Genomic DNA, 25,319 nt, shown 5'->3' on the forward strand with positions numbered 1-25,319 from the left:
TCCGGCCTCCCGAGTAGCTGGGACCACAGGGCACCATTTTGCCCAGCTAACTTTTGTATTTTTTGTAGAGAGGGGGTTTCACTATGTTGCACAGCATGGTCTCCGACTCCTGGGCTCAAGCGATCCTCCCGCCTCGGCCTCCCAAAGTGCTGGGGATCCAAGCTGTGGAACTTTCTTCAGATTTCCCTGGAGGACTGCAGGTGCACGAGGGTCGTTTCTGGGCCCAGAGTAGGGCAGCTCTCAGATTGCAGCTCCTGAGAGCCGTGCGCGACCGTCTCCAGCACTCGCGGACCCCCAGAGGGCTGTTTTTTTTTCTCCATAGCATTGATTGAATATATATCCTTATACATTCCATATATATCTCAGGAAGAATACACAAGGAAGTGGTACCAGCGGTTGCCTCTGGGGAAAAGTGGGAAGATTGAGGGTAAAATTTCCCTTTTCTCGTGTGTAATTTTTTTTCACTTTCCTATCTGCATGGATTACCTTAAAAAAATTCAACATCAGAGAGTACCCAAGTTTGTGGCACAAGCATGTACTGAGCACCTGCCCTGTGGCAGGCACCGTGAAGTCCCTGGGGTAGAGAGAATCCAGGTTTGTATCCCAAGCACTGGGTCTAGTAATTTAGTGGGGAGAGAAAGTACCCAATTGGCCTAGTAAAGAAAGGGGAAGCCATCGGCAGGGGGGGTCAGCATATTTCAAGGCATGCTGACTTGCTAGAGTGTGGCAGCCCACCAAGACCTTTAAAGTGGCAGGGATGGAGATACGAAAAATGGACGTAAAGATCAGGGAAAAGAGGCAGAAAAAAAGAAGAGCAGCCCGTCATGAAGTTCGATCATTATCCAAAGATTGAGGGATACTGCAAGGTCTTAAGCAAGCGAACTCTATGCTTTTGGACTTACCTCATAAAGAACTTTCTCCCATAAGAACCGAAGATGCGCTAGGCCAGAGGTGACAACTGATGGTCCACAGATGTTTTATTTGGCCTAGTTTTTTTTAAGTTGCCAACACAAACAAATGGAGCAGCCAGAACTCAAATGAAAAACTATTTGGCAGTAGATTCCACTACTCATCAGCATGGGGGTTTTGACCTGCTCCGTTTCTGACCTGACCCCTTCATAGGCAAACCTGTGGGTCTTTTGCTCCGTGGAAAGTCACCATAATGATGCTAACGACCTGATCAGCATAACACACTATAGCCCAGAACTGGATTCAAGCAATCCTCCTGCCTCAGGTTCCCAAGTGGTTGGAACTACAGGCATGTGCCACCATGTCCAATTGGCAGTATGTTTTAAACCTAAACAGACACTTTCAGGACTCAGTCATTCCACTCCTAGAAAGGTACACAACAAAAATGCTTATATATTTTCACCAGAAGACATGAAATAGAATATTTGTAGCCGAAAAATTTGTTATAAGCCCAAACAGAGAGCAACCTAAACGCCAGTCAACAGAAGAATAGATGAATAAATGGAAGACCGTCAGCAATGAAAATAACCCATATGCAACTACATACAACAATGTGGGTTAATTTTACTAGCATAATGTTGAGAGAAAGATACCAGATCCAAAAGTGTGTATACTGTGTGATTGTATTCATGTAACGTACAAAAGCAGGCAAAACTAATCCAGTCTGTTAGAAGTCAGGTTAGTGCTTCCTGGTTGGGGTTGAGGTGGGGAGCTAGCGACTGGAGGAGAGAGCAATGGAAAAATTTGAGGGGCTGGCTATTCATGCTCGATTTCTTGATCTGGATGTTGGTTGCACTGTGTTCACTTCATGAATACTAATTGAGCTTTTCACCTATGTATACATTTCTGGATATATATAAGTTTTTTTTTGTTTTGTTTTGTTTTTTTGAGACGGAGTTTCGCTCTGTCACCCAGGCTGGAGTGCAGTGGTGCAGTCTCAGCTCACTGCAAGCTCCGCCTCCTGGGTTCACACCATTGTCCTGCCTCAGCCTCCCAAGTAGCTGGGACTACAGGCGCCCGCCACCATGCCCAGCTAATTTTTTGTATTTTTAGTCGAAACAGGGTTTCACCGTGTTAGCCAGGATGGTCTCGATCTGCTGACCTCGTGATCTGCCCGCCTCAGCCTCCAAAAGTGCTGGGATTACAGGCGTGAGCCATCGCTCCTGTCCTATAGTGAAGTATTTTTTCAACATGTCAGAGTCAGAAATTTTCACTTACAAATTTAGCTCTTCCACTTCTCTTGGCGTCCTTTGGGCGTGCGTTCCACAGACTGCACTTGACCTTGTATCTTGTAAGGAGGTGTTCTTTCTCCAGCTGCCAAGGTTCCAGACCTGCTGATTTCACTCCTTTGTATTTCCTACTGGGCTTCTGGAGGAATTTTAGTTTGTGATGCCCGCATATATGTGTAGGTTATATATAGATATCACCTTTTACATTTTCATTTAGTTTTGGACGATGTGTTTCTGTGATTCAAATTCCAAAGATTCCATTCTGGGCAACAACACAAGACCCCGTCTCTACAAAATTAAAAAAAAAAAAATTAGCTGGGTGTGTGGCACACACGTGCATTTCCAGTTACTCAAAACGCTGTGGTGGAAGGATCACTTGAGCCCAGGAGGTCGAGGCTGCAGTGAGCTATGATTGTGCAGTCCACTGCACTCAAGCCTGGGTGGCAGAGTGAAATCCTGTCTTAAAGGAAAAAAAAATTCCAAAGGAACAAAAAAATTTCCAGAGAAGTCTGCCTTCTGCTTCTGTTCCCCCTGGCTATCTACTTCTAAGAAGAAACCAATGTTGCTGCTTCTTAGGTATCCCTCTTGAGATATTTTGTGGAAGCAAATTAATATATGTTCTTTTCTTCCTCCTTTATTTTTACACTGTTTGGTACCCATGCATTTTCACTTAACAATAGAGATTGTTTTTTATCAGTTCTTTACAAATTATTCTTTTTTTGTATTACTGCATTGTATTCCACCATATAGATGGAACAAACATTGTTAAAAATTGTGACAAAGTACATATAACATTTATCACCTCAAACATTTTCAGTGAAAAGAAGAATGAAAATGAGTGAGGAAAGTTTATGAAACTTATGGGACAACTCAATGCAGCCAATATGTGCGTTATGGGAATCCAAGAAGGAGCACAGAAAGAGAAAGGGATGGAAAACTTACACTTGAGGAAATAATGACAGAAAAATTCCCAAATCTGGAGAGGAAAACAAACATCCATCCCCATGAAGCCTATAATACTGAAAATACTTGAGCATAATGAGGTTCTTGAGACACATAATCAACTTGTCAAAAGTCAAACACAAAGGATCTTGGACTGAGCACAGTGGCTTGTGCCTGTAATCCCAGCACTTTTGGAGGCTGAGGTGGATGGATCATTTGAAGCCAGGAGTTCAAGACTAGCCTGGACAAAATGGTGAAACCCTGTCTCTACTAAAAATACAAAAATTAGCTGGGTGTGGTGGTGCATGCCTGTAATCCCAGCTACTCAGGAGGCTGAGGCACAAGAATCGCTTGAACCTAGGAGGCGAAGGTTGCAGTGAGCTGAGATTGTGCCACTGCACTCCAGCCTGGGCAACAGAATGAGACTCTGTCTCAAAAAAAAAAATAAAAAAATCTTGAAAGCAACGTAAGAAAAGTGACTCATCACATACAAGAAAGCCACTGTAAACTATAAGCAAATTTTTCAGCAGAAATCTTGCAGGCCAGGAGAAAGTGGGATTCAAAGTGCTGAAAGAACTAAGTACTCTTAGTGCCAGGAAAGAATACTATACTTGGCAAAGCTGTCAGAAATCAAGCAGAGATAGACTTCCCAGACAAACAAAAGCTGAAGGAGTTCATCACCACTAGACCTGCTTTAGAAGAAATGCTAAACAGAGTTGTTCAAGTTCAAATGAAAGGATGCTAATTAGCAACATGAAAACATATGAAGGTATAAAACTCACGGGTAAAGGTAAGTATAATCAAATTCAGAATATTCATACTGTAATGGTGGCATATAAATTTTAATTCTAGTATAAAAAAAGACAAAAGTATTATTATATAACTATAAAAATTGTTAGTGATTACACAGTATAAAAGATATACATTGTGATATCAATAAAATAAATGTGGGAGGGAAGAAGTAAAAGTGTAGAGCTTTTTTTTTTTTTTTTTTTTTGAGACGGAGTCTCACTCTGTCTCCCAGACTGAAGTGCAGTGGCGTGATCTTGGCTCACCGCAAGCTCTGCCTCCCAGGTGCACACCATTCTCCTGCCTCAGCCTCCTGAGTACCTGGGACTACCGGCACCCACCACCACGCCTGGCTAATTTTTTTTGTATTTTTTTAGTAGAGACGGGGTTTCACCATGTTAGCCAGCATGGTGTCGATCTCCTGACCTCGTGATCCACCCGCCTTGGCCTCCCAAAGTGCTGGGATTACAGGCATGAGCACTGCGCCCAGCCAGAACTTTTATATGCAATTGAAAATATCAGCTTTGACTGTTATAAGTGTAAGATGTTTTATGTAAGCCTCATGGTAATCACAAAGCAAAAACTGGTAGTAGATACACAAAAGACAAAGATAAAATAATCAAAGCATGCCACCACAAAAATCATGACATTAAAAGGAAGTAGTAAGAGAAGAAAGAAACAAAGGTGGCCAGGCGTGGTGGCTCACGCCTGTAATCCCAGCACTTTGGGAGGCTGAGGCTGACAGATGACTGGAGGTCAGGAGTTCAAGACCAGCCTGGCCAATACAGTGAAACACCGTTTCTACTAAAAATACAAAAATTAGCCAGGCATGGTGGCACATGCCTATGATCCCAGCTACTCAGGAGGCTGAGGCAGGAGAATCACTTTAACCTAGGAGGCAGAGTTTGCAGTGAGCCGAGATCGTGCCACTACCCTCCAGCCTGGGTGACAGACTGAGACTGCATCTCAAAAGAAGGAAAAAAAAAAACAAAGGAACTACCAAACAGAAAACAATGAACAAGATGGTAGTGGTAAATCCTCCTATATCACTAATTACCTTAAATGAAAATTGATTCATTTCTCCAATCAAAAGACATAGAGTGAGCCAGGCATAGTGGTGTGTGCCTGTAATCTCAGCTGTCAGCTGCTTAGAAGGCTGAGGCAGGAGAATCCCTTGAGGCCAGGAGTTTGGGGCTGTAGTATGCTGTAAGTGTTCCTGAGAATAGCCACTACACTTTAGCCTGGGCAACATAGTGAGACTTAATCTCCAAAAAACAAAGACATAGAATGACTGAATGAATAAAAATTTAAAGATAGACATAGGCTGAAAGTGAAGGGATAGAAAAAGATACTCCATGCAAATGGTAATCAAAAGAGAGCAGGAGTGGTTATACCATCAAAAAAATATACTTTAAGTCAAGATGTCACAAGAGACAAAAAAGATCATTGTGTGATGAAGGGTCAAATGATCAAGAGAATATAAGAATTGTAAATATGTATGCACCCTACATTAGAACACCTAAATGTATAAAACAAATATTAATGGAATTGAAGGATGAAATAGACAACAATACAATAATAGTGGGAAATTTGAATACTTCACTTTCAACAATGGATAGATAATCTAGACAAAAAAGAGAAACAGTGGACTTGAACAACCACTATAACCAATAGAGCGGACATACACAGAACATTCCATCTAACAGCAGCAGAACACACATCTTCTCAAATGCACATGTAACATTTCCTAGGATAGATCATATATTGGGCAGCGAAACAAAACTTTCCTTTTATAAAGTTTAAACAAATTTAAGAAAATTGAAATTATTATTATTATTTTTTGAGACGGAGTCTCGCTCTGCTGCCCATGCTGGAGTGCAGTGGCACAATCTCGGCTCACTGCAATCTCTGCCTCCCGAGTTCAAGTGATTCTCCTGTCTCAGCCTTCCAGGGAGGCTGGGATTACAGGCATGTACCACCATGCCTGGCTAATTTTTGTATTTTTTAGTAGAGACAGGATTTCACCATGTTGTCCAGGCTGGTCTCCATCTCCTGACCTCAAGTGATCTGCCCGCTTTGGCCTCTGAAAGTGCTGAGATTACAGGCATAAGCCACCACACACAGCCCTGAAGATTGAAATTATATCAAATATCTTTTTTCTCACCACAATACTATGAAACTGGAAATCAATAATAGGAGGAAAATTGAAAAACTCACAAATATGTGGAAGTTAAATAGCACACTCCTAAACAACCAATAGATCAAAGAAGAAATCAAATAAGAAAAAAAATCTTGAGACAAATTAAAATGGAAACACAACATACCAAAACTTACGGGATGCAGTAAAAGCTGTTCAAAGAGGGACATTTATTGCACTAAACGCCTACATTAAGAAAAAAAGAGGTCAGGCACGGTGGCTCACGCCTGTAATCCCAGCACTTTGGGAGGCCCAGGCAGGCAGATCACGAGGTCAGGAGATTGAGACCATCCTGGCTAACACAGTGAAACCCCGTCTCTACTAAAAAAAAAAAAAAAATTAGCCAGGCATGGTGGTGGGCGCCTGTAAGTCCCAGCTACTCGGTAGGCTGAGGCAGGAGAATGGCGTGAACCCGGGAGGCAGAGCTTGCAGTGAGCCGAGATTGCACCACTGAACTCCAGCCTGGGTGATAGAGCGAGACTTCATCTCAAAAAAAAAGAAAAAAAAGAGATCTCAAACATCTTAATATTCACCTCAAGGAACTAAAAAAGGAAAAACAAAAACTAAGGTTAGCAGAATGAAGGAAATAATAAAGATGAGAGCTGAAATAAATGAAATAGAGAATAGAAAAACAATACAGAAGATCAATGATATGGCCAGGCGCAGTGGCTCACTCCTGTAATCCCAGCACTCTGGGAGGCCGAGGCGGGTGGATGACGATATCAGGAGATTGAGACCATCCTGGCCAACATGGTGAAACGCCGTCTTTACTAAAAATACAAGAATTAGCTGGGCATGGTGGCGCGCAGCTATAGTCCCAGCTACTCGGGAGGCTGAGGCAGGAGAATCGCTTGAACCTGGGAGGCAGAGGTTGCAGTGAGCTGAGATCGTGCCACTGCACTCCAGCCTGGAGGACAGAGTGAGACTCCGTCTAAAGAAAAAACAAAATCAATGATAGTAATAGTTGGATTTTTAAAAAGATAAACAAGATTGGCAAACCTTTAGCTAGCCTAAGGATAAAAGAACACGCAAATAGATAAAATTATAAAAGAAAGAAGAGACATTACAGCAGATACCACAGAAATACAAAGGCTCATAAGATACTACTATTAATAATTACATGCCAACAATTTGCATAACCTAGAAGAAATGAATAGATTCCTAGAAACGTACATCCTACCAAGACTGAACCATGAAGAAAGAAAAAATTTAAACGGATCAATATGGGTAAGGAGATTGAATCAGTAATCAAAATCTCCCAATGAAGAAAAGCCCATGATCAGATTGCTTCACTGGTCAATTTTACCAGACATTTAATGAAGAATTAATGCCAATCCTTCTCAAAGTCTTCCAAAAAACTGAAAAAAAAGGAGCGTTTCTAAACTCATTTTATGAGCCCATCATTGCCTTAATACCAAAGCCAGCCGTGGACACTGTAAGAAAAGAACATTACAGGCCAATATCCCTGATAAACATAAATGCAAATAGAATCTAAGCTGGTGGAAAAGTAATTGCGGTTTCAGACCATGAATTTTAAATAATTATAACTAGGCTCAAACACATCTTTGTTAATCAAAATAGGAACCATTACAATCAACACATTTTTGCCAATGAGAAACAAGTTTGTCATTCCTTTGGTGTAAAAAATCCATGCTTTGGGATTCGGTGAACTCTTGGAAAGCATTTTCTGCATTTTGCTGGTTGTGGAAGTGTTTTTCATGCAAAAAGTTGTCGAGATGCTTGAAGGAGTGGTAGTCTATTGGCGGGAGGTCAGGTGAATATGGCGGATGAGGCAAAACTCTGTAGCCTAATTCATTCAACTTTTGAAGAGTTGGTTGTGCCACGTGCGGTAGGGAGTTGTATTAGTCCATTTTCACGCTGCTGATAAAGACATACCTGAGACTGGGTAGAAAAACAGGTTTAATTGGACTTACAGTTCTATGTGGCTGGGGAGGCCTCAGAATCATGGCGGGAGGCAAAAGGCACTTCTTTTTTTTGTTTGTTTTTGTTTGAGACAGAGTATCTCTCTGTTGCCCAGGCTAGAATGCAGTGGTGTGACCCCGGCTTACTGCAATCTCTGCCTCCCGGGTTCTAAGCGATTCTCCTGCCTCAGCCTCTGGAGTAGCTGGGATTACAGGCACCTGCTACCATGCCCGGCTAATTTTGTCTTTTTTTTATTTTTATTTTTATTTTTTTTTTTAGTAGAAACAGGGTTTCGCCATGTTGGCCAGGCTGGTCTTGAGCTCATGACCTCAAGTGATCTGCCCTGCTTGGCCTCCCAAAGTGCTGGGATTACAGGCATGAGCCACTGTGCCTGGCCAGCACATTTTTAATCTAATTAGGAAACAACTAAATTCCACCTCAACTTTAGATTGGACTTGGGCAGAAGACAGCTGTAATCCCAGCACTTTGGGAGGCTGAGGCTGACAGATGACTTGAGGTCAGGAGTTTCAGACCAGCCTGGCCAACACAGTGAAACACCATCTCTACTAAAAACACAAAAATTAGCCAGGCATGCTTGTGCATGCCTGTGATTCCAGCTACTTGGGAGGCTGAGGCATACAGGTATCAGGTGAAGCACCTCTATGTTTTGAAAGGCACAATAATAGTCACCACCAGACTAGAACCTGTGATATGGGATTTTTGCCACCTCAACAATGTAGTGAGACCCTTTTATTAGCAGACCAGATGTGGATGGTATGGCAACATAATTTGCCAAAAATGGATGCCTACCCTTCTCCTTGGGGATGGTTATGGGCTTGCAGAACTCATGGCTGGCCGTACTTACCTTCTAACTGGACCGGAAGGTGTATGTGTGGTCACCGTTATCTCCCGGGATGTATCCTCACCAAATTGGACTCTCTCCCATCTAACTGGGAAATTGTAAAGGCTCGCCATAGGCGACAAAAACAAGCATCTTGGTGGTTCTACCCCATGGCTATGTTTTCCTCACAGGCAGCTACCAAATTACAAGCTGAAGCCTTAGCCGAGCACACGGTTGCAGCTTTCAGTAATACATGCCATGCTGCCATGCCCTTACCATCCTGAGGAAACTTCTCAGATTAGGCAGGTACCCTTACAAAACCGTATGGCTTTGGACATTTTAACAGCCGCCCCAGGAGGAACTTGTGTTTTGATCAAAACTAAATGTTGTGTGTATGTTCCAGACTATTCACATAACGTTACTCAGGCTATGAAAGCTTTAGACACTCATATCTCTGCCATTGATGCGCTATCAGTCGACCCTATATCGGCTTAGTTCCAACAACTGCCCAGTTCTTAGAAGGCCTTTCTGTTTAGTTTACTTGGAATTATTTTACTTATTTTGCTTTGCTATTGTGGAATATATTGCGGTTATATTCTTCGTGTAGGAATGCAAGACAAGCTTACTTAAATTGGACCCTTATTAAGCTTCCAGATATGACCTTTTGTTGGAACTCAGAGTTATGAACACCCCTCATCATACTGATGCTTTCTGACTGAGCTCCTCTCTACCCTGAATGCAAGAGACCCAATAATTAGGCAGGAATATCGTCACCCCTATTCAGCCTGAAGGAGTTACAGAAGACAGATCTTTGTCCCTCTGCAAACTTTAGGGTTAAGGGTCCTCTTGTAAAGGGAGGGGAGAAATATGTCAGAGGCGTTTGAACCAGAGCGACTCCATCTTGAGGGCTGTGTAAAATGAGGCTGGGACATGCTGAGCTGCATTCCCAGAAAGTCAGGTATTTCTAGCCTCTAGATGTTTACGGTTAAAGGAACAGATTGATAATGTTTACTAAAGTGACCCAGACTTAGGAATGTCCTGATATCCCAATATCTTGAGAACAGAAGCGTTCCTAATTTTGCTTTAAAGATAATAATATCAATTCTTGCAAAATGTAGTAATTAGGAAAATTAATCATTTATCACAAATCCTTGTAGCAGAGCACATCTCCCCATGATCTTTTTTTAATCCTATCTATAAATAAGTATTGTACCTAGGATGGACACATTCCTCCTCTGGTAACTTCCTTCTTTCCTTTCTTTTTTTTGAGACAGGGTCTCTCTCTGTTGTCCAGGCTGGAGTGCAGTGACGTGATCATGGCTTACTGTAGCCTCCAACCTCCTGGGCTCAAATAATTCTCTCCTTTCAGCCTCCTGAGGAGCTGGACTATAGGTGCATATCCCTATGTCTGGCTAATTTTTAAATTTTTTTGTGGAAACAGGGCCTCACTATGTCGCCCAGCCTAGTCTCAAACTCCTGGGCTCAAGCCATCGTCCTGCCTCAGCCTCTCACGGACAAATGATTTTCCATTTTTAATAGAGGGATTCTCGCTCTGTCGCCCAGACTGGAGTGCATTGGCGCTATCTCTGCTCACTGCAACCTCTGCCTCCTGGGTTCAAGGAATTCTCCTGCCTCAGCCTCCCAAGTAGCTGGGACTACAGGCGCACGCAACCACGCCCGGCTAATTTTTGTATTTTTAGTAGAGATGGGGTTTCACCATATTGGTCAGGCTGGTCTCAAACTCCTGATCTCAGGTGATCCACCCACCTTGGCCTCTCAAAATTCTGGGATTACAGGTGTGAGCCACTGTGCCCAGCTGACAACTAATTTTTGACAAGGACACGCAATGGGGAAAGGCTGAAGCGGGGAGGATTACTTGAGTTCAAGACTTTGAGAAAACCAGCCTGGGCCACGTAAGGAAACCCCTATCTCTTTTTAAAAAAGTATTGTATACTAAAAGTTTGCTAAGAGAGTGGATCTTAATATGTTAAGTGTTTTTGTCACAAAAATAGCAGAGATCATAATAAAGGAGGTGCAGTGAAACTGCGAGGGGATGAGTATGTTTATGGCCATGATGGTGATAATGGTTTCCCAAGTGTATACTTATCCCTAATCTCATCCAGATGTTTACATTCAATATGTATGGTTTTGATATGTTAATCATACCTGAATAAAGTGGTTTAAAAAGAAGAGTTGGCAGGGTGCAGTGGCTCCTGCCTGTAATCCTAGCACTTTGGGAGGCCAAGGCAGGAGGATTGCTTGAGCCCAAGAGTTCAAGACCAATCTGAGCAACACAGGGAGACCCCTGTCTCTACAAAAAGTAGCAGAACAAAATTAGCTGGGCATAGTGGTACGTGCTTGTAATCACGGCTACTCAGGTGGCTGAGGCTGGAGAATCACTTGAACCTGAAAGGCAGAGGTTGCAGTGAGCTGAGATTGTGCCACTGCACTCCAGCCTGGGTGACAGAGAGAGATCCTGTCCCCCCTAAAAAAGAGTCAAGCTTCCTGTCCTCATAGAACTTGTGCTCTAGCTTGAGAAGACAGACAATAAACCAGTAAACAGGATACTTTGACATGCCTTGAAGGAAGAAAACGCAGAGTTTAGCCTGAGAGGTTGAGATGTAGGATCGGGTTATCTTGAGACAGAGGAGACCAGGGGTACATAGTAAATTCACTTAGGCAATGAATGACTCGGATCTTGGCTGTAGGGATGGGGATCAGTGGTGGTGGTGGTGAATTGGGGATATATTTTGGTGGGGACTGACAGGACTCTTCAGTGAATCTAATGTGAGACAGAGCACAGAGACTTTTGGCTGTGAGCAATAGAACCCAAATTAGCATCAACCACGAGAAAGGAGATCATCTCCAACAATAGAAGATGGATGTGGGATTCATAATAGGCTTGCCCTGGGTCATAGATGCAGCAGCTTAATGGGTTATCACAGTCCCAAGTTATTTTTTTTTCTTTTTTGAGACGGAGGTTCAGTTTTGTCGCCCAGGCTGGAGTGCAGTGGCGCTATCTTGGCTCACTGCAACCTCCGCCTCCTAGATTCAAGTGACTCTCCTGCCTCAGCCTCCCAAGTAGCTGGGATTACAGGCGGCCGCCACCACACTTGGCTAATTTTTGTATTTTTAGTAGAGATGGGGTTTCACCATGTTGGCCAGGCTGGTCTCAAACTCCTGACCTTAGGTGATCCACCCACCTCAGCCTCCCAAAGTGCTGGGATTACAGGTGTGAGCCACCACACCCGGTCCCAGTTTCTTTTTTTCCTCTTTTGTTGTGCCTCTTTCTGAGTTGGCTTCTTTCTCTGTCTGAAATGGAAATTCTAGGTGTCATATCCAGATTACAGCATCCAGACAAATAATGTCTCTTTTCTCAGAGTGTCAATCGATTGGCTTTTTTTACTGCTTAGAATGTAGTCACAGTCAGGGGGACTCGGATACCCTTTGGCCAAATCAGGCCCACCCCTGGAGTTGGGCCAGGAGTGGAGACAGTGGAAACCTGAACAAAATGAGGGCTGTGTCACAAAGGACAAGGAGAAGAGTTGATGTGGCCTGGTATTCAGCAGTATCCGCCAGGCTGTGTGGATGGGGAGCCATTTGCCCTGCCAGGGATGCAGAGAGTTTGAGAGGAAGCTGGTAGGTCTGGTGTTGATGCATTACATTTTGGGAAACATCCGGGTCCGGTAGGCAGTTGCAGCTACAGGCCTGGAGCTTAGGAGGAAGGAAATATTTGAAAGAAAAGAGATGTTCGGGCGAGAGCTGAAACCTCAGGCGTGTGGATGGGTCAAATGGGGAACATAAAATGCCTACACCTGGCAACTAGGGATGTCACCCATCGTCCTGATGAAGCAGTTTCAGTGAGTGGCAGGGCAGAAACGAAGCCAACGGAAGAGAGTGGAAGGGAAAGGAAGAAATGGGAAGAGCTCTGGATCCTACACTGCCGTGCTGGACCACACTGTTTCACAGGAAGCCCAGGGTCTGAGCTGGTTTGTCCACGTGATGAAGACAGAAGATAAATAGGGGTAGGTGTGACCCAAGCCTGTGAGCCAAGGAGAAGGTATGAAGGGAGGTGATGGTCAGAACATGTGAATGCTCAGCGCTCATCACTGTATTGGATATCCAGGCTGCTGCAGAAGGATGAGAAGCAAAGGATGCAAATGAGAGCAAAAACACAGGGCTTGACACAGCTTGTCTATCATCACTATGATGGATGAGCTGGCCAGTGACACCCAAACACAATATACACATATAGCTCACCGTGCAGCATATGTTTCTAGCCTGTTTCCAAACTTTATGGATACATGACTGTGTAATTAATTGTCATTAGATACGATGATTGGATTTCTGTTGTTACATGTATCCCTCTAACAGTCCACAGTGCTGATTGTTATTTTAAAAAGAACACAGAGGGGCGCGGTGGCTCATGCCTGTAATCCCAGCACTTTGGGAGCCTGAGGCGGGTGGATCACGAGGTCAGGAGATCGAGACCATCCTGGCTAGCACGGTGAAACCCCGTCTCTACTAAAAATACAAAAAATTAGTCAGGCGTGGTGGTGGGTGCCTGTAGTCCCAGCTACTCAGGAGGCTGAGGCAGGAGAATGGCGTGAACCCGGGAAGCGGAGCTTGCAGTGAGCCGAGATCGCACGACTGCACTCCAGCCTGGGCGACAGAGTGAGACTCCGTCTCAAAAAAAAAAAAAAAAAAAAAAAAAAAGAACGCTAAGCCAGCCATAAATTGGCCACATTGTTCTCTCCTAATCACAAATGAGGCCTGGTTTTCCAAATATGGAAAGGAAAGGCCCCTTGCTTCTCTCCCATATGGCTCAGCTTTTGTGGCTTCAAAGGATAATCACTCCCTCTAAGGGGCAGCCATTTAATATTCAAGACATGAGTGAAACCCCCCAAAACCTACTCAAATATTAAGGGGCACTTGTTCTGCCTGACTCTTGAAATCACATGAACAAGCTAAAGGTTTCCCTGTCTCGGGTGAGCTATAAAAGCAGAGGCAATGGTACAGACATGTGTATCTGACATAGCCTGAGGGGCGATCCCTTCTTAAGCCTGCAGGAGGAAGCTGCCTTAAGTTTGATTAGATGTTGCCCTACGTCTGTGGTTTGGAGTGTTGGCCAGGATAATAACTAAAAGCAGAAAAAAATGTCATCTAAATGCTACTTTTACATTTTTCTTTTTTTGTTTTTGAGACTTACTCTATCACTCAGGCTGAAATGCAGTGGTATGATCATAGTCACTGTAATTTCAAACTCCTGGGCTCAAGAGATCCTCCTACCTTGGCCTCCCAAAGCCCTGGGATTACAGGCATGGGCTTCCGGGCCCAGCCAAGGTCTTTATTATGACAGGATTTTGCATCATCTTCTTGTTGGTTTTATTGATCATATTTGCATGCTGCAAAATGCTTTTTCCATGGCACTCTGCCATGTGGTCAGCTCACCACCCTGAACTGTGTGTGAAGTACCATAAATTTAGGTTTGATCCAAAAAGGACTCTCTCATTATCAAAATGTGCCTGTTATGTTGCCTGGGCCAGCGAAGCTATTCTTTCCATTAATAGCTCTAAATGGAATGAGAAATCTTAGACTTGTAGGTTAGTCTATTTTACTTGTGTGTTTATTTTGAATACTTTCAAAATGTTTGGTGAAACTTAATTTGGAACATTCCAGGGTGTTCTCTCATCTCTGAGCCAACCTATAAAGAAAAGAGGAGAATTGTCTCTTCAGTGTATCACTCGTGGGGCTGTAGGGGAGGCAAGGAGATCACAGGTTGCATTTTTCTTTGGAAATTTTCTGACACAGACCTATTAATCAGTCTAGCCTATTTTTTCCATGGGAGTGAGATGAAAAGAATGAAGTATATGAAATCCCTTATTAACCCTTGCATGCTCAATCTCCACACTAGATCAGGGCCTTCTGTATTTAATAGGATTCCATACTACTTTTTTGTTTTGTTTTTGAGATGGAGTCTTGCCCTGCTGCCTAGGCTAGAGTGCAGTGGTGCAATCTCAGCTCACTGCAACAACCCCTGCCTCCTGGGTTCAAGCAATTCTCCTGCCTCAGCCTCCCGAGCAGCTGGGAGGCACATGCCACCGTGCCTGGCTAATTTTTGTATTTTTAGTAGAGACAGGGTTTCACCATGTTGTCCAAGCTGGTCTTGAACTCTTGACCTCAGGTGATCCGCCCACCTCAGCCTCCCAAAGTGCTGGGATTACAGGCGTGAGCCACCACGCCTGACTTACTTTTTTGAAAAAGTCTTAAATAATGCACACACCCCATTTTTATTTCATGCGTATCCTTCCTTTGTTTTATATTATTTACAAACAATATAATGTGCATCTGTAAACCTATCATCCAACTTGGAGCTAGGATGTGGACAGTTACCAAGATAAACTTATGTGTCCCTTCAAAATGCTTTGCATGCTTATAATTGTTTACAGTACTTACAGTTGTTTAGTTAAGCCATAAGAGAACAAGGTCTGGGCATATTTGGTTCATCATCATATTTTACTCTGCAGTGAGTGAAGTATCTGATACCTAAAAGGCTTTAATATCTTTTTTAAAATATCTTTTTTTAGAGAAAAATGTAATTCTTGTAAAAACACGTATCATAACATTTACCATCTTAACGATTTTTAATTGTCCAGTTCAGTAGTGCTAAGTACTCATATTACGGTGGAACAGATCTCCAAAACTCTACCCATTAAACAACTTCTCATGTCCACGTCCCCCCAGTCCCCGGTAACCACTATTCCACTTTCTGTTTCTCAGTTTGACTACTTTAGATACCTCATACAAGTGGAATCGTACAATATTTGTTTTTTTTTTTTTTGTGACTGGTTTATTTCACTTAGCATAATGTTGCTGGGGTTCATCCATGTTGTAGCATGTCAGAATTTCCTTCCTTTTTTTTTTTTTTTTGAGATGGGGTCTCACTCTGTTGCCCAGGCTCACTGAAACCTCTGCCTCCCGGGTTCAGTGGCACAATCATTCAGTGGTGCGATCATCACTCACTGCAGGCTGTGTCTCCGGGGCTCAAGTAATCCTCCCACTTTAGCCTTCAGAGTAGCTGGGACTACAGGTGTGCACCACCATGCCCACTAATTAGATTTTTTTTTTTTTTTTTAGAGACGCTGTCTCGCTATGTTGCCCAGGCTGATCCCAAACCCAGTCCTCTCATCTTGGCCTCCCAAAGTGCTGGGATTACAGATATAAGCCTCCAAACTTGGCCACTAAACTTATTTATTTATTATTATTTTTTGAGACAGAGTCTCACTCTATCACCCAGGCTGGAGTGCAGTGGCACAATCTCTGCTCACTGCAACCTCCACCTCCCGGGTTCAGGTGATTCTCCAGCCTCAGCCTCCCAAGTAGCTGGGATTACAGGTGCCTGCCACCACACCCAGCTAATTTTTGTATTTTTAGTGGAGACGGGGTTTCACCATGTTGGCCAAGCTGGTCTCGAACTCCTGATCTCAGATGATCCGCCTGCCTTGGCTTCCCAAAGTACTGGGATTACAGGCATGAGCCGCTGCACCCGGCCTCAGCTTATTTTATTTATTTTGTTGAGGCAGGTTCTCATTATGTTGGCCAGGCTGGTCTCAAACTCCTGACCTCAAGGAATCATCTCATGTTGGCCTCCCAAAGTGCCGGGATTACAGGTGTGAGCCATCATACTCAGCCTCATTTTTTAAAAAAATTAATTTAATTTTTTCTGAGACAGGGCCCAGGCTGGAGTGCAGTGGCACAATCTCGGCTCACTGCAACTTCCACCTCACGTGTTCAAGAGATTCTCATGCCTCAGTCTTCCAAGTAGCTGGGATTACAGGTGCACGCCACCACATCCTGCTATTTATTTTTATTTTTAGTAGAGATGGGGTCTCACCATATTGGCCAGGCTGGTCTTGAACTCCTGGTCTCAAGTAATCTGCCCACCTCGGCCTCCCAAAGTGCTGGGATTGTAGGTGTGAGCCACCACGCCCCGCCTCATTTTTAAAAATAATGTTTTTCTACCCAATTGGATATGCTGCTGGAAAGAATGATTTAATTTTTTTCTGAGAATGGAATATATTTTTCCCCCTTCCCTTCCCCCTTCTCTTCCCCCTTCCCTTCCCTTCCCTTTTTCCTTCCCTTCCCCCTTCCCTCCTCCCTTCCCTTCCCTCCTCTCTTCCCTTCCCTCTCCCTCCCCCTCCCCCTCCCCATCCCCTCCTCCTTCCCCCTTTCCCCTCCCCTCCCCTCGTCTCTTCTCTTCTTGAGGCGGGGTCTCACTCTGTTGCCCAGGCTAGAATGCAGTGGTGTGACTATAGCTCACTGCAGCCTCCACCTCCTGGACTGAAGCCTCAAGCAATCCTCTCGCTGTAGCCTCCCGAGTCAGCTGGAACTACAGGTGTATGCCATCATGCCTGGATAATTTTAAATTTCTTTGTAGAGACGGGGTTTCACCATTTACTTACCTAGACTGTCTCAAACTGCTGGGCTCAAGCGATGCACCTGCCTTGGGGGATTCTTAGTAAATCTACAGGGCTGTGCAACCATCACCACAATCCAGTTTTGGAACACTTAAATCACCTGGAAAAGATCCCGCCTGTCCATCTGCAGCCAATCCTGGCCATAACTCCCGAAGCCCCAGGTAACCACTGATCCACTTTCTTTTACCGTAGCTTAAAATCTTCTGCCTCTGACTAGCCTGGGAAACATAATGAGACCTTGTCTCTACAAAAAATTTAAAAATTAGCTGGTCATAGTGTCATGTATCTCTAGTCCCAGCTACCTGGGAGACAGAGGTGGAAGGATCGCTTGAGGCTGGGAGGCAGAGGTTGCAGTGAGTCGTGATTGAGCTACTGCACTGTAACTAGGGTGACAGAGCAAGACCCTGTCTCAGGAACACAACAAAACAACCTTCCGCTCTTCAAAGGACAGTGTTAAGAGAATGAAAAGACAAGCCACAGACTGGGATAAAATGTTTGCAAAACATATTACAGATAAAGGATTTGTATACAGAATAAACTCAACATTATAATAGATAATAAACAACTCAGTAAAGAAAGGGGCAACAAAGATCTGAACAGATATTTCATCAAAGATATAAGAATGACAAGCATATGAAAATGTGTTCAATATTAGTAGTCATTAGGGAAATGCAAATATAGCAGAAAACTATAATGAGATACCATTACCCCTTATTAGAATGGCTAGATTGAAAAGACTGACACTACCAAGTATTGGTGAGGATGTGGAGGAACTGGAACTCCTGTGGTTGGTTGGTTTGTTTGTTTGTTTTTGAGACGGAGTCTCATTCTGTCTCCCAGGCTGGAGTACAGTGGCATGATCTCTGCTCACTGCAACCTCTGCCTCCTGGGTTCAGGTGATTCTCTCACCTCAGTCTCCCCAAGTAGCTGAGATTACAGGTGCCCATCAACCAGCCCGGCTAATTTTTGTATTTTTAGTAGAGACAGGGTTTCACCATGTTGGCCAGGCTGGTCTTGAACTCCTGACCTCAGGTGATCCACCCGCCTTGGCCTCCCAAAGTGCTGGGATTACAGGTGTGAGCCACTGCGCCCGGCCGGAACTGGAACTCTTGTACGCTGTTAGTCACTGCTAGAGGGAATATAAAATGGTATAACTGGCCAGGTGCTGTGGCTCCCGCCTGTAATCCCAGCACTTTGAGGGCGAGGCGGGTAGATCACGAGGTCAAGAGATCGAGACCATCCTGGCCAACATGGTGAAACCCTGTCTCTACTAAAAATACAAAATTATCTGGGCATGGTGGCGCGCGCCTGTAGTCCCAGCTACTCGGGAAGTTGAGGCAGGAGAATCGCTTGAACCCAGGGGGCAGAGGTTGCAGTGAGCCGAGATCACGCCACTGCACTACAGCCTGGGCGACAGAGTGAGACTCCATCTCAAAAAAAAAAAAAAAAAGGTATAACTATGCTATACTACTTTGCAAAAGAGGTTAGCAGTTTCTTGAAATACATTTCTTTTTTTTTGAGACAGAGTCTTGCTGTCACCCAGGCTGGAGTGTAGTGGTGCAATCTCGGCTCACTGCAAGCTCCGCCTCCCGGGTTCAAGCAATTCTTTCACCTCAGTCTCCCCAAGTAGCTGAGATTACAGGTGCCCACTAACCTGCCGGCTAAGTTTTGTATTTTTAGTAGAGACAGGGTTTCACCATGTTGGCCAGGCTGGTCTTGAACTCCTGACCTCAGGTGATCTGCCCGACTCAGCCTCCTAAAGTGTTGGGATTACAGGCATAAGCCACTGTGCCCAGCCAGAACTGGAACTCTCGTACACTGTTAGTCACTGCTAGAAGGAATGTAAAATAGTATAACTGGCCAGGCATGGTGGCTCCTGCCTGTAATCCCAGCACTTTGAGTCCGAGGCAGGTGGATCACGAGGTCAAGAGATCAAGACCGTCCTGGCCAACATGGTGAAACCCCATCTCTACTAAAAATACAAAAATTACAAAAATACAAAAATTATCTCTCCGAGTCCCATCTACTAGAGAGGCTGAGGCTGGAGAATCACTTGAACCTGGGAGGTGGAGGTTGCAGTGAGCCGAGATCGCACCACTGCACTCCACCCTGGCGACAGAGTGAGACTCCGTCTCAAAAAAAAAGGTATAACTATGTTATACTACTTTGCAAAACAGTTTCTCAAAATACTTTTTTTTTAGGGATGGGGTCTCACTATGTTGCCGAGGCTGGTCACCAACTCCTCAGCTCTAGTAATCCTCTCACTGCAGCCTCCCAAGTACTGGGACTACAGGCACATCCACTGCTCTGGCTCATAAACCTTTTTTTTTTTCCTTTTTTTTTTTTTTTATAGGCAGGAGAACTGTATCTTCAAAAATGTCAATATAATAAAAAACAAAGAAAAGATATGGAAATGTTTCAGATTAAAGGAGGCCAAAGAGACATGTAAATTAAATAAAATACCTGACCCTGGATCTTTTTTTTGTTTTTGAGATGGAGTTTCGCTGTCGTTGTCTAGGCTGGAGTGCAATGGCTCGATATCAGCTCACTGCAACCTCCGCCTCCTGGGTTCAAGCGAGTCTCCTGCCTCAGCCTCCCATGTAGCTGGGATTACAGATGTCCACCACCATGCCCAGCTCATTTTTGTATTTGTCATAGAGACGGGGTTTCACCGTGTTGGCCAGGCTGGTCTCGAACTCCTGACCTCAGGTGATCCACACGCCTTGACCTCCCAAAGTGCTGGGATTACAGACATGAGCCACCACGCCTGGCCAACCCTAGATCTTATACTGAAGGAGAAAAATGCTACAAAGGAAATTATGCAGTCAGTTGACAAAATTGGAACACAAATAGCAGATTAAAGTATTGTATTAATGTTAACATTACAGAAGTTGACAAATTATGTAAGAGGCCGGGCGAAGTGACTCACACCTGTAATCCCAGCACTTTGGGAGGCTGAGGTGGGTGAATCACCTGAGGTCAGGAGTTTGAGACCAGCCTTGCCAACATGGTGTAACCCCGTCTCTACTAAAAATACAAAAATTAGCTGGGAGTGGTGGCGCATGCCTGTAACCCCAGCTACTCGGAGGCTGAGGCAGGAGAATCACTTGAACCTGGGAGACAGAGGTTGTAGTGAGCCAAGATTGCGCCACTGCACTCCAGCCTGGGTGACAGAGCAAGACCTTGTCTCCAAAAAAAATGTAAGAGTACATTGTTAGTGACACACACACACACACACACACACACACACACACAGAGAGAGAGAGAAAGAATGAGAGAGCGAGAAGGAGAAAAGAATGAGAGAGAGAGAGAAACAGAGAACAAGTCCCCAAAGAACCTTGGTCAACCCAGCTCTCCCCTTCTTGCTTGCGGTTCCCAGGCAGAATGTACCAAGATTGCAACATCCTGAGATAAAGAGGAACAACCCAGGCTCTCTCCACGATCCTCCTAGAACAGATGTCCTGCAACACTTGTGATCAGTTAAGTCAAGTCCTGGCCAGAGTATAAAACCCAGAGTTGGGGGGTGGTGTGCTTTCTGAGTCCCTCAGCTGCAGTGTGAAGTGGAGCTCGTGCAGATGAGACTTCCTCTGTCCTATGCACCTTTCTTGAGGCTTGGGGACCAGCTCACCGTGGATCCTAGGCTTCTGTTGGCTTTTGCCGCCTTTCTGGGAGTAATAAAGTTGCTTTGCCTTACTTGTGTAAGTGTTCTATCTCCCTGGACTTATACTCGGACAGCTGGGTTTGTGCAAAATCTCCTAGCAAATGCAGGAATCTTAGCAGAAATTAACGAGGTGTTTAGAGCCCTCCCTTGGGATTGGTAATCAGTGTGTGATGTTTCTCTCTCAGTGATTGACACTGGTGTATGGTATTCTGCTTAACAGAGGGAGAGAAAGAACATGAAGGAGCAAATGAAGTAAAATGAACTAGGTTAATCTAAATTAAGGATTTTTTTTTTTTTTTTTGAGACAAGGTCTTGCTATGTTGCCTAGGTTGGTCTTGAACTCCTGGCCTCAAGCGATCCTCTCACCTTAGCTTCCCAAAGTGCTTGGATTATAGGTGTGAACCACCAGCTCTGCCTACATTGAATGTTCTTGACACCATTTTTATTTTTTGCAACTTTTCTTTCTTTCTTTCCATTTTGGGACAGAGTCTTGCTCTGTCACCCAGGCTGGAGTGCAGTGGTGCAATCACAACTTATTGCAGCCTTGAGCTCCTGGGCTCAAGCAATCCTCCCACCTCAGCTTCCCAAGTAGCTGGGACTACAGGTGTGCACCACCATGCCTGGCTAATTAAGAAAAAAGAATATTTTTTAGAGACAGGGTCTCTCTCTCTATGCTGCTCAGTCTGATCTCAAACTCCTGGGCTCAAGTGATTCTCCTGGCTTCACCTCCCAAGGTGCTGGAATTACAGGCTTGAGCCACTGTGCCTGGCCACAACTTTTCTACAAATTTGAAACTATTTTAAAATAAAAACTTTCAATATTTTAATTATTTTTAAAACGAAGATGGCATGGCATAAAATAAAAACAAATTTAAAAAGCAAACGAAAGTTTATTTAGAGATAAATTTCTGGGCATAGTGCTAAGCCTGTGAAAATTTATGGTCTAAATAAAGTTGGCTGCACTAATAACCATAAGATTAATTTTTAACCTATTGAACTTTACCTAATCAGAAGGCCTTGGTGTAAAATACGGACTAAAATAAAAACATATTAAAGGTTATCTGGGGCCGGATGTGGTGGCTCATGCCTGTAATCCCAACACTTTGGGAGGCCGAGGTGGGTGGATGACTTGAGGTCAGGAGTTCGAGACCAGCCTGGCCAACATGGTGAAACCCCATCTCTACTAAAAATACAAAAATTAACAGGGCATGGTGGTACGTGCCTGTAATCCCAGCTACTTGGAAGGCTGAGAGGCAGGAGAATTACTTGAACCTGGGAGGCGAAAGTTGCAGTGAGCCAAGATTGTGTCACTGCACTCCAGCCTGGGCAACAGAGCGAGATTCCATCTCAAAAAATAAAAAATAAATAAAGGTTATCTGGTTTTAGCAATATTTTTCAAACTGAGGTGAAATTCATAGAAGATACAATTAGCCATTTTAAAGCATATAATTCAATGTCGCACAACACCATCTAGCAATATAAATAGTGCTGCCGTTTAGGATAATTTAATATTTGTATTTTAAAATGTTGCATAAATGCTTGTTCTTAAACTTCTTTTTTTATTTTTTTATTTTTATTTTTATTTTTGAGACAGAGTTTCACTCTTGTTGACCAAGCTGGAGTGCAGTGGCATGATCTCGGCTCACTGCAACTTCTGCCTTCCGGTTTCAAGCAATTCTCCTGTCTCAGCCTCCCAAGCAGCTGGGATAACAGGTGCCCACCACCACGCCCGGCTAATTTTTGTATTTTTAGTAGAGACGGGGTTTCACCGTGCTGGCCAGGCTGGTCTCAAACTCCCGACCTCAGGTGATCGCCCACCTCAGCCTCCCAAAACGCTGGGATTATAGGCGTGAGCCACGGTGCACAGCCTACACTTCCATTTTATAACATTTTACTTTATTTAAAGATTTAAATTCTTGTTCTTTCAAGAACCCTTCTATATGTATAATTTAATTTATTTCTTGGACTCCTTTTATTTTATTCTTTTATACTGTAGAGATGGAGGGTCTTTCTTTTTTTCTTTTTCTTTTTTTTTTTTTGAGATGGAGTCTTGCTCTGTCGCCCAGGCTGGAGTGCAGTGGCACGATCTTGGCTCACTGCAAGCTCCACCTCCCGGGCTCACTCCATTCTCCTGCCTCAGCCTCCCGGGTAGCTGGGACTACAGGCGCCCGCCACCACGCCCGGCTTTTATGTATTTTTTAGTGGAGACGGGGTTTCACTGTGTTAGCCAGGATGGTCTCGATCTCCTGACCTGTGATCCGCCCGCTTCAGCCTCCCAAAGTGCTGGGATTACAGGCGTGAGCCGCCGCGCCCGGCCAAGGTGGGGGTCTTTCTATGTTGCCCAGAGTGGTCTCCAGCTTCTGGCCTCAAGCAGTCCTCCTGCCTTGGCCTCTCAAAGTGTTTGGGCTGCAGGCCTGAGCCACCCCACCTGGCCTGGAATCTTTTGTATTGGTACATAATAGATGTACATATTTTGGGGATCCATTTGATCATTTGATACATTCATATAGTGTTAAAGATTAAAGCAGGTTTATTGAGATATCCATCACCTTAAATATTATCTTTTATACACACTTTTTAAAAACCTCATTAAAATTAGCCAGGTGTGGTGCTGCACACCTGTAGTCCTAGCTACTTGGGAGGCTGAGGTGGGAGGATTGCATGAATCCAGGAGTTCGAGGCTGCAGTGAGCTATAGTGATGCCACTGCACTACAGCCTGAGTGACAAGTCGAGACCCTGTCTCTAGCAAACAACAACAATCAAAAACTAGTTAAGCATAGCAAAATAGTTCATATTACATTCTGTTTTTCTTTCAGATTAGCTATACACACACACAAAGGCTTAAAAATTCAGCTATACTAAAATGCAGTATTCCAAAAGACACCAATTCTTCATTCTTTGTTAGCCATCCTGGATTCTCAAACAGGCTGCCAACATACAGGATGACTGTAGGTGTCTCGCAGCTACTGAGCAATACGATGGCTGTAAAACGCGTGCATGTGAGGAATTGCCTGAGCTTAGTTCCTGCCAGTCAGCTACTGAAACAAACACTGCAGATTTTACTTGATTCGCTCTGAATACTGATGCTTCCTAGTTCCTGGGGGAAAGATGGTCAGTCTGCTCTGTAATTCAACCTGTGTGTAATCATCAATATGATCATCATTATTGTCATCTAGTAAAACCAAGTGGATAATGCTAAGAATAGGGAAAGTTTCAGTTCCCACTAAATTCCTTCTCTCTTTGTCGACTCTGTTTTCATAGGTTTTAGAATGAGTTGAGGCAAGCTCATTTTCACCTTGCATTTCAGTGCTGCCTTCTGGATGTGCTCTCTTGAATCTGCCTTGCGTTTGCTGCCCTCAGTAACTGACCCTGCTTCCCTCAGTTCTGATCACACTGCTGGTCAGTGCTGATGTTCCTTTGAGTCTCTGACTGAGATGTAGTCTCCCTGAAGAGACTTCAGCTCTCCAAACTCAGTCATGATTGGTTTAAAATTGATATAAAAGCCACCGATGAAGGGCTTGTTAGCCTGGCTCTCTGAAGTCCGACGAAGAAAGATTGTTGGCCAGGTGCGGTGGCTCACACCTATAATCCCAGCACTTTGGGAAGCCGAAGCGGGCAGATCGCCTGAAGTCAGGAGTTCGAGACCAGCCTGGCCAATATGGTGAAACCCTGTCTCTACAAAAATACAAAAATGAGCTGGGTGTGTTGGTGTGTGCCTGTAATCCCAGCTACTCAGGAGGCTGAGGCAGGAGAATCGCTTGAACCCGGGAAGCAGAGGTTTCAGTGAGCCGATACCAAGCCATTGCACTCCAGCCTGGGCAACAAGAGCGAAACTCCATCTCAAAAAAAAAAAAAAAAAAGAAAAAAAGAAAAAAAAGAAAGATTATTATGACAGAAGTCCTGGTACTTGTCTGCTCTGAACAAGAAGTGGTTTGACAAAAGCCCCCGCTGCTGCTTTCATTGGTATTTGCATTTTCTGACAGTTTTGCTCTGGGCTCAGATCCATTTGTAACACTGTCCCAATCTCTATCCCCTCCCCTCCACTTCTGTCCCCTCCCCTGCCCTCCACTTCCCTTTCCCCTCCCCCCCTTTTTTTTTGACAGGGTCTTGCTCTGTCACCCAGACTGGAGTGCAGTGGCGTGATCTTGGCTCACTGCAGCCTCCGTCTCCAAAGCTGAAATGATTTTCTCTCTTCAGCCTCCTGAGTAGCTGGGACTATAGACATGTGCCACCATGTCCAGCTAATTTTTGTATGTTTTGTAGACATGGGGGTCTCACTATGTTGCCCAGG

At 44.2% G+C, this 25,319-nt stretch overlaps 1 long non-coding RNA gene and 1 pseudogene across 1 annotated transcript, besides 2 other annotated features; one reads left to right on the forward strand and one right to left on the reverse strand.

The window, feature by feature from the left end:
• On the forward strand, nucleotides 140–21,060 carry LOC105372804 (uncharacterized). The gene is made up of 3 exons (XR_937717.2): nucleotides 140–594; nucleotides 17,328–17,528; nucleotides 20,747–21,060. It is a non-coding gene; the product is annotated as an uncharacterized LOC105372804 (long non-coding RNA).
• Nucleotides 1,810–2,014: a silencer, noted in NCBI's record as "fragment chr21:40723570-40723774 (GRCh37/hg19 assembly coordinates)". NCBI's record gives its function as "represses an EF-1alpha promoter that drives an FKBP-Casp9 reporter gene in an ReSE screen in K562 erythroleukemia cells {active_cell/tissue: K562}" and the evidence as "EXISTENCE:reporter gene assay evidence [ECO:0000049][PMID:32094911]".
• Nucleotides 10,213–10,437: a silencer, noted in NCBI's record as "fragment chr21:40731973-40732197 (GRCh37/hg19 assembly coordinates)". NCBI's record gives its function as "represses an EF-1alpha promoter that drives an FKBP-Casp9 reporter gene in an ReSE screen in HepG2 liver carcinoma cells {active_cell/tissue: HepG2}" and the evidence as "EXISTENCE:reporter gene assay evidence [ECO:0000049][PMID:32094911]".
• RNF6P1 (ring finger protein 6 pseudogene 1) lies at nucleotides 23,929–24,587 on the reverse strand (annotated as a pseudogene).

The sequence above is a fragment of the Homo sapiens genome, chromosome 21 (assembly GCF_000001405.40).
Source record: "Homo sapiens chromosome 21, GRCh38.p14 Primary Assembly".
Taxonomy (NCBI): Eukaryota; Metazoa; Chordata; class Mammalia; order Primates; family Hominidae; genus Homo; species Homo sapiens.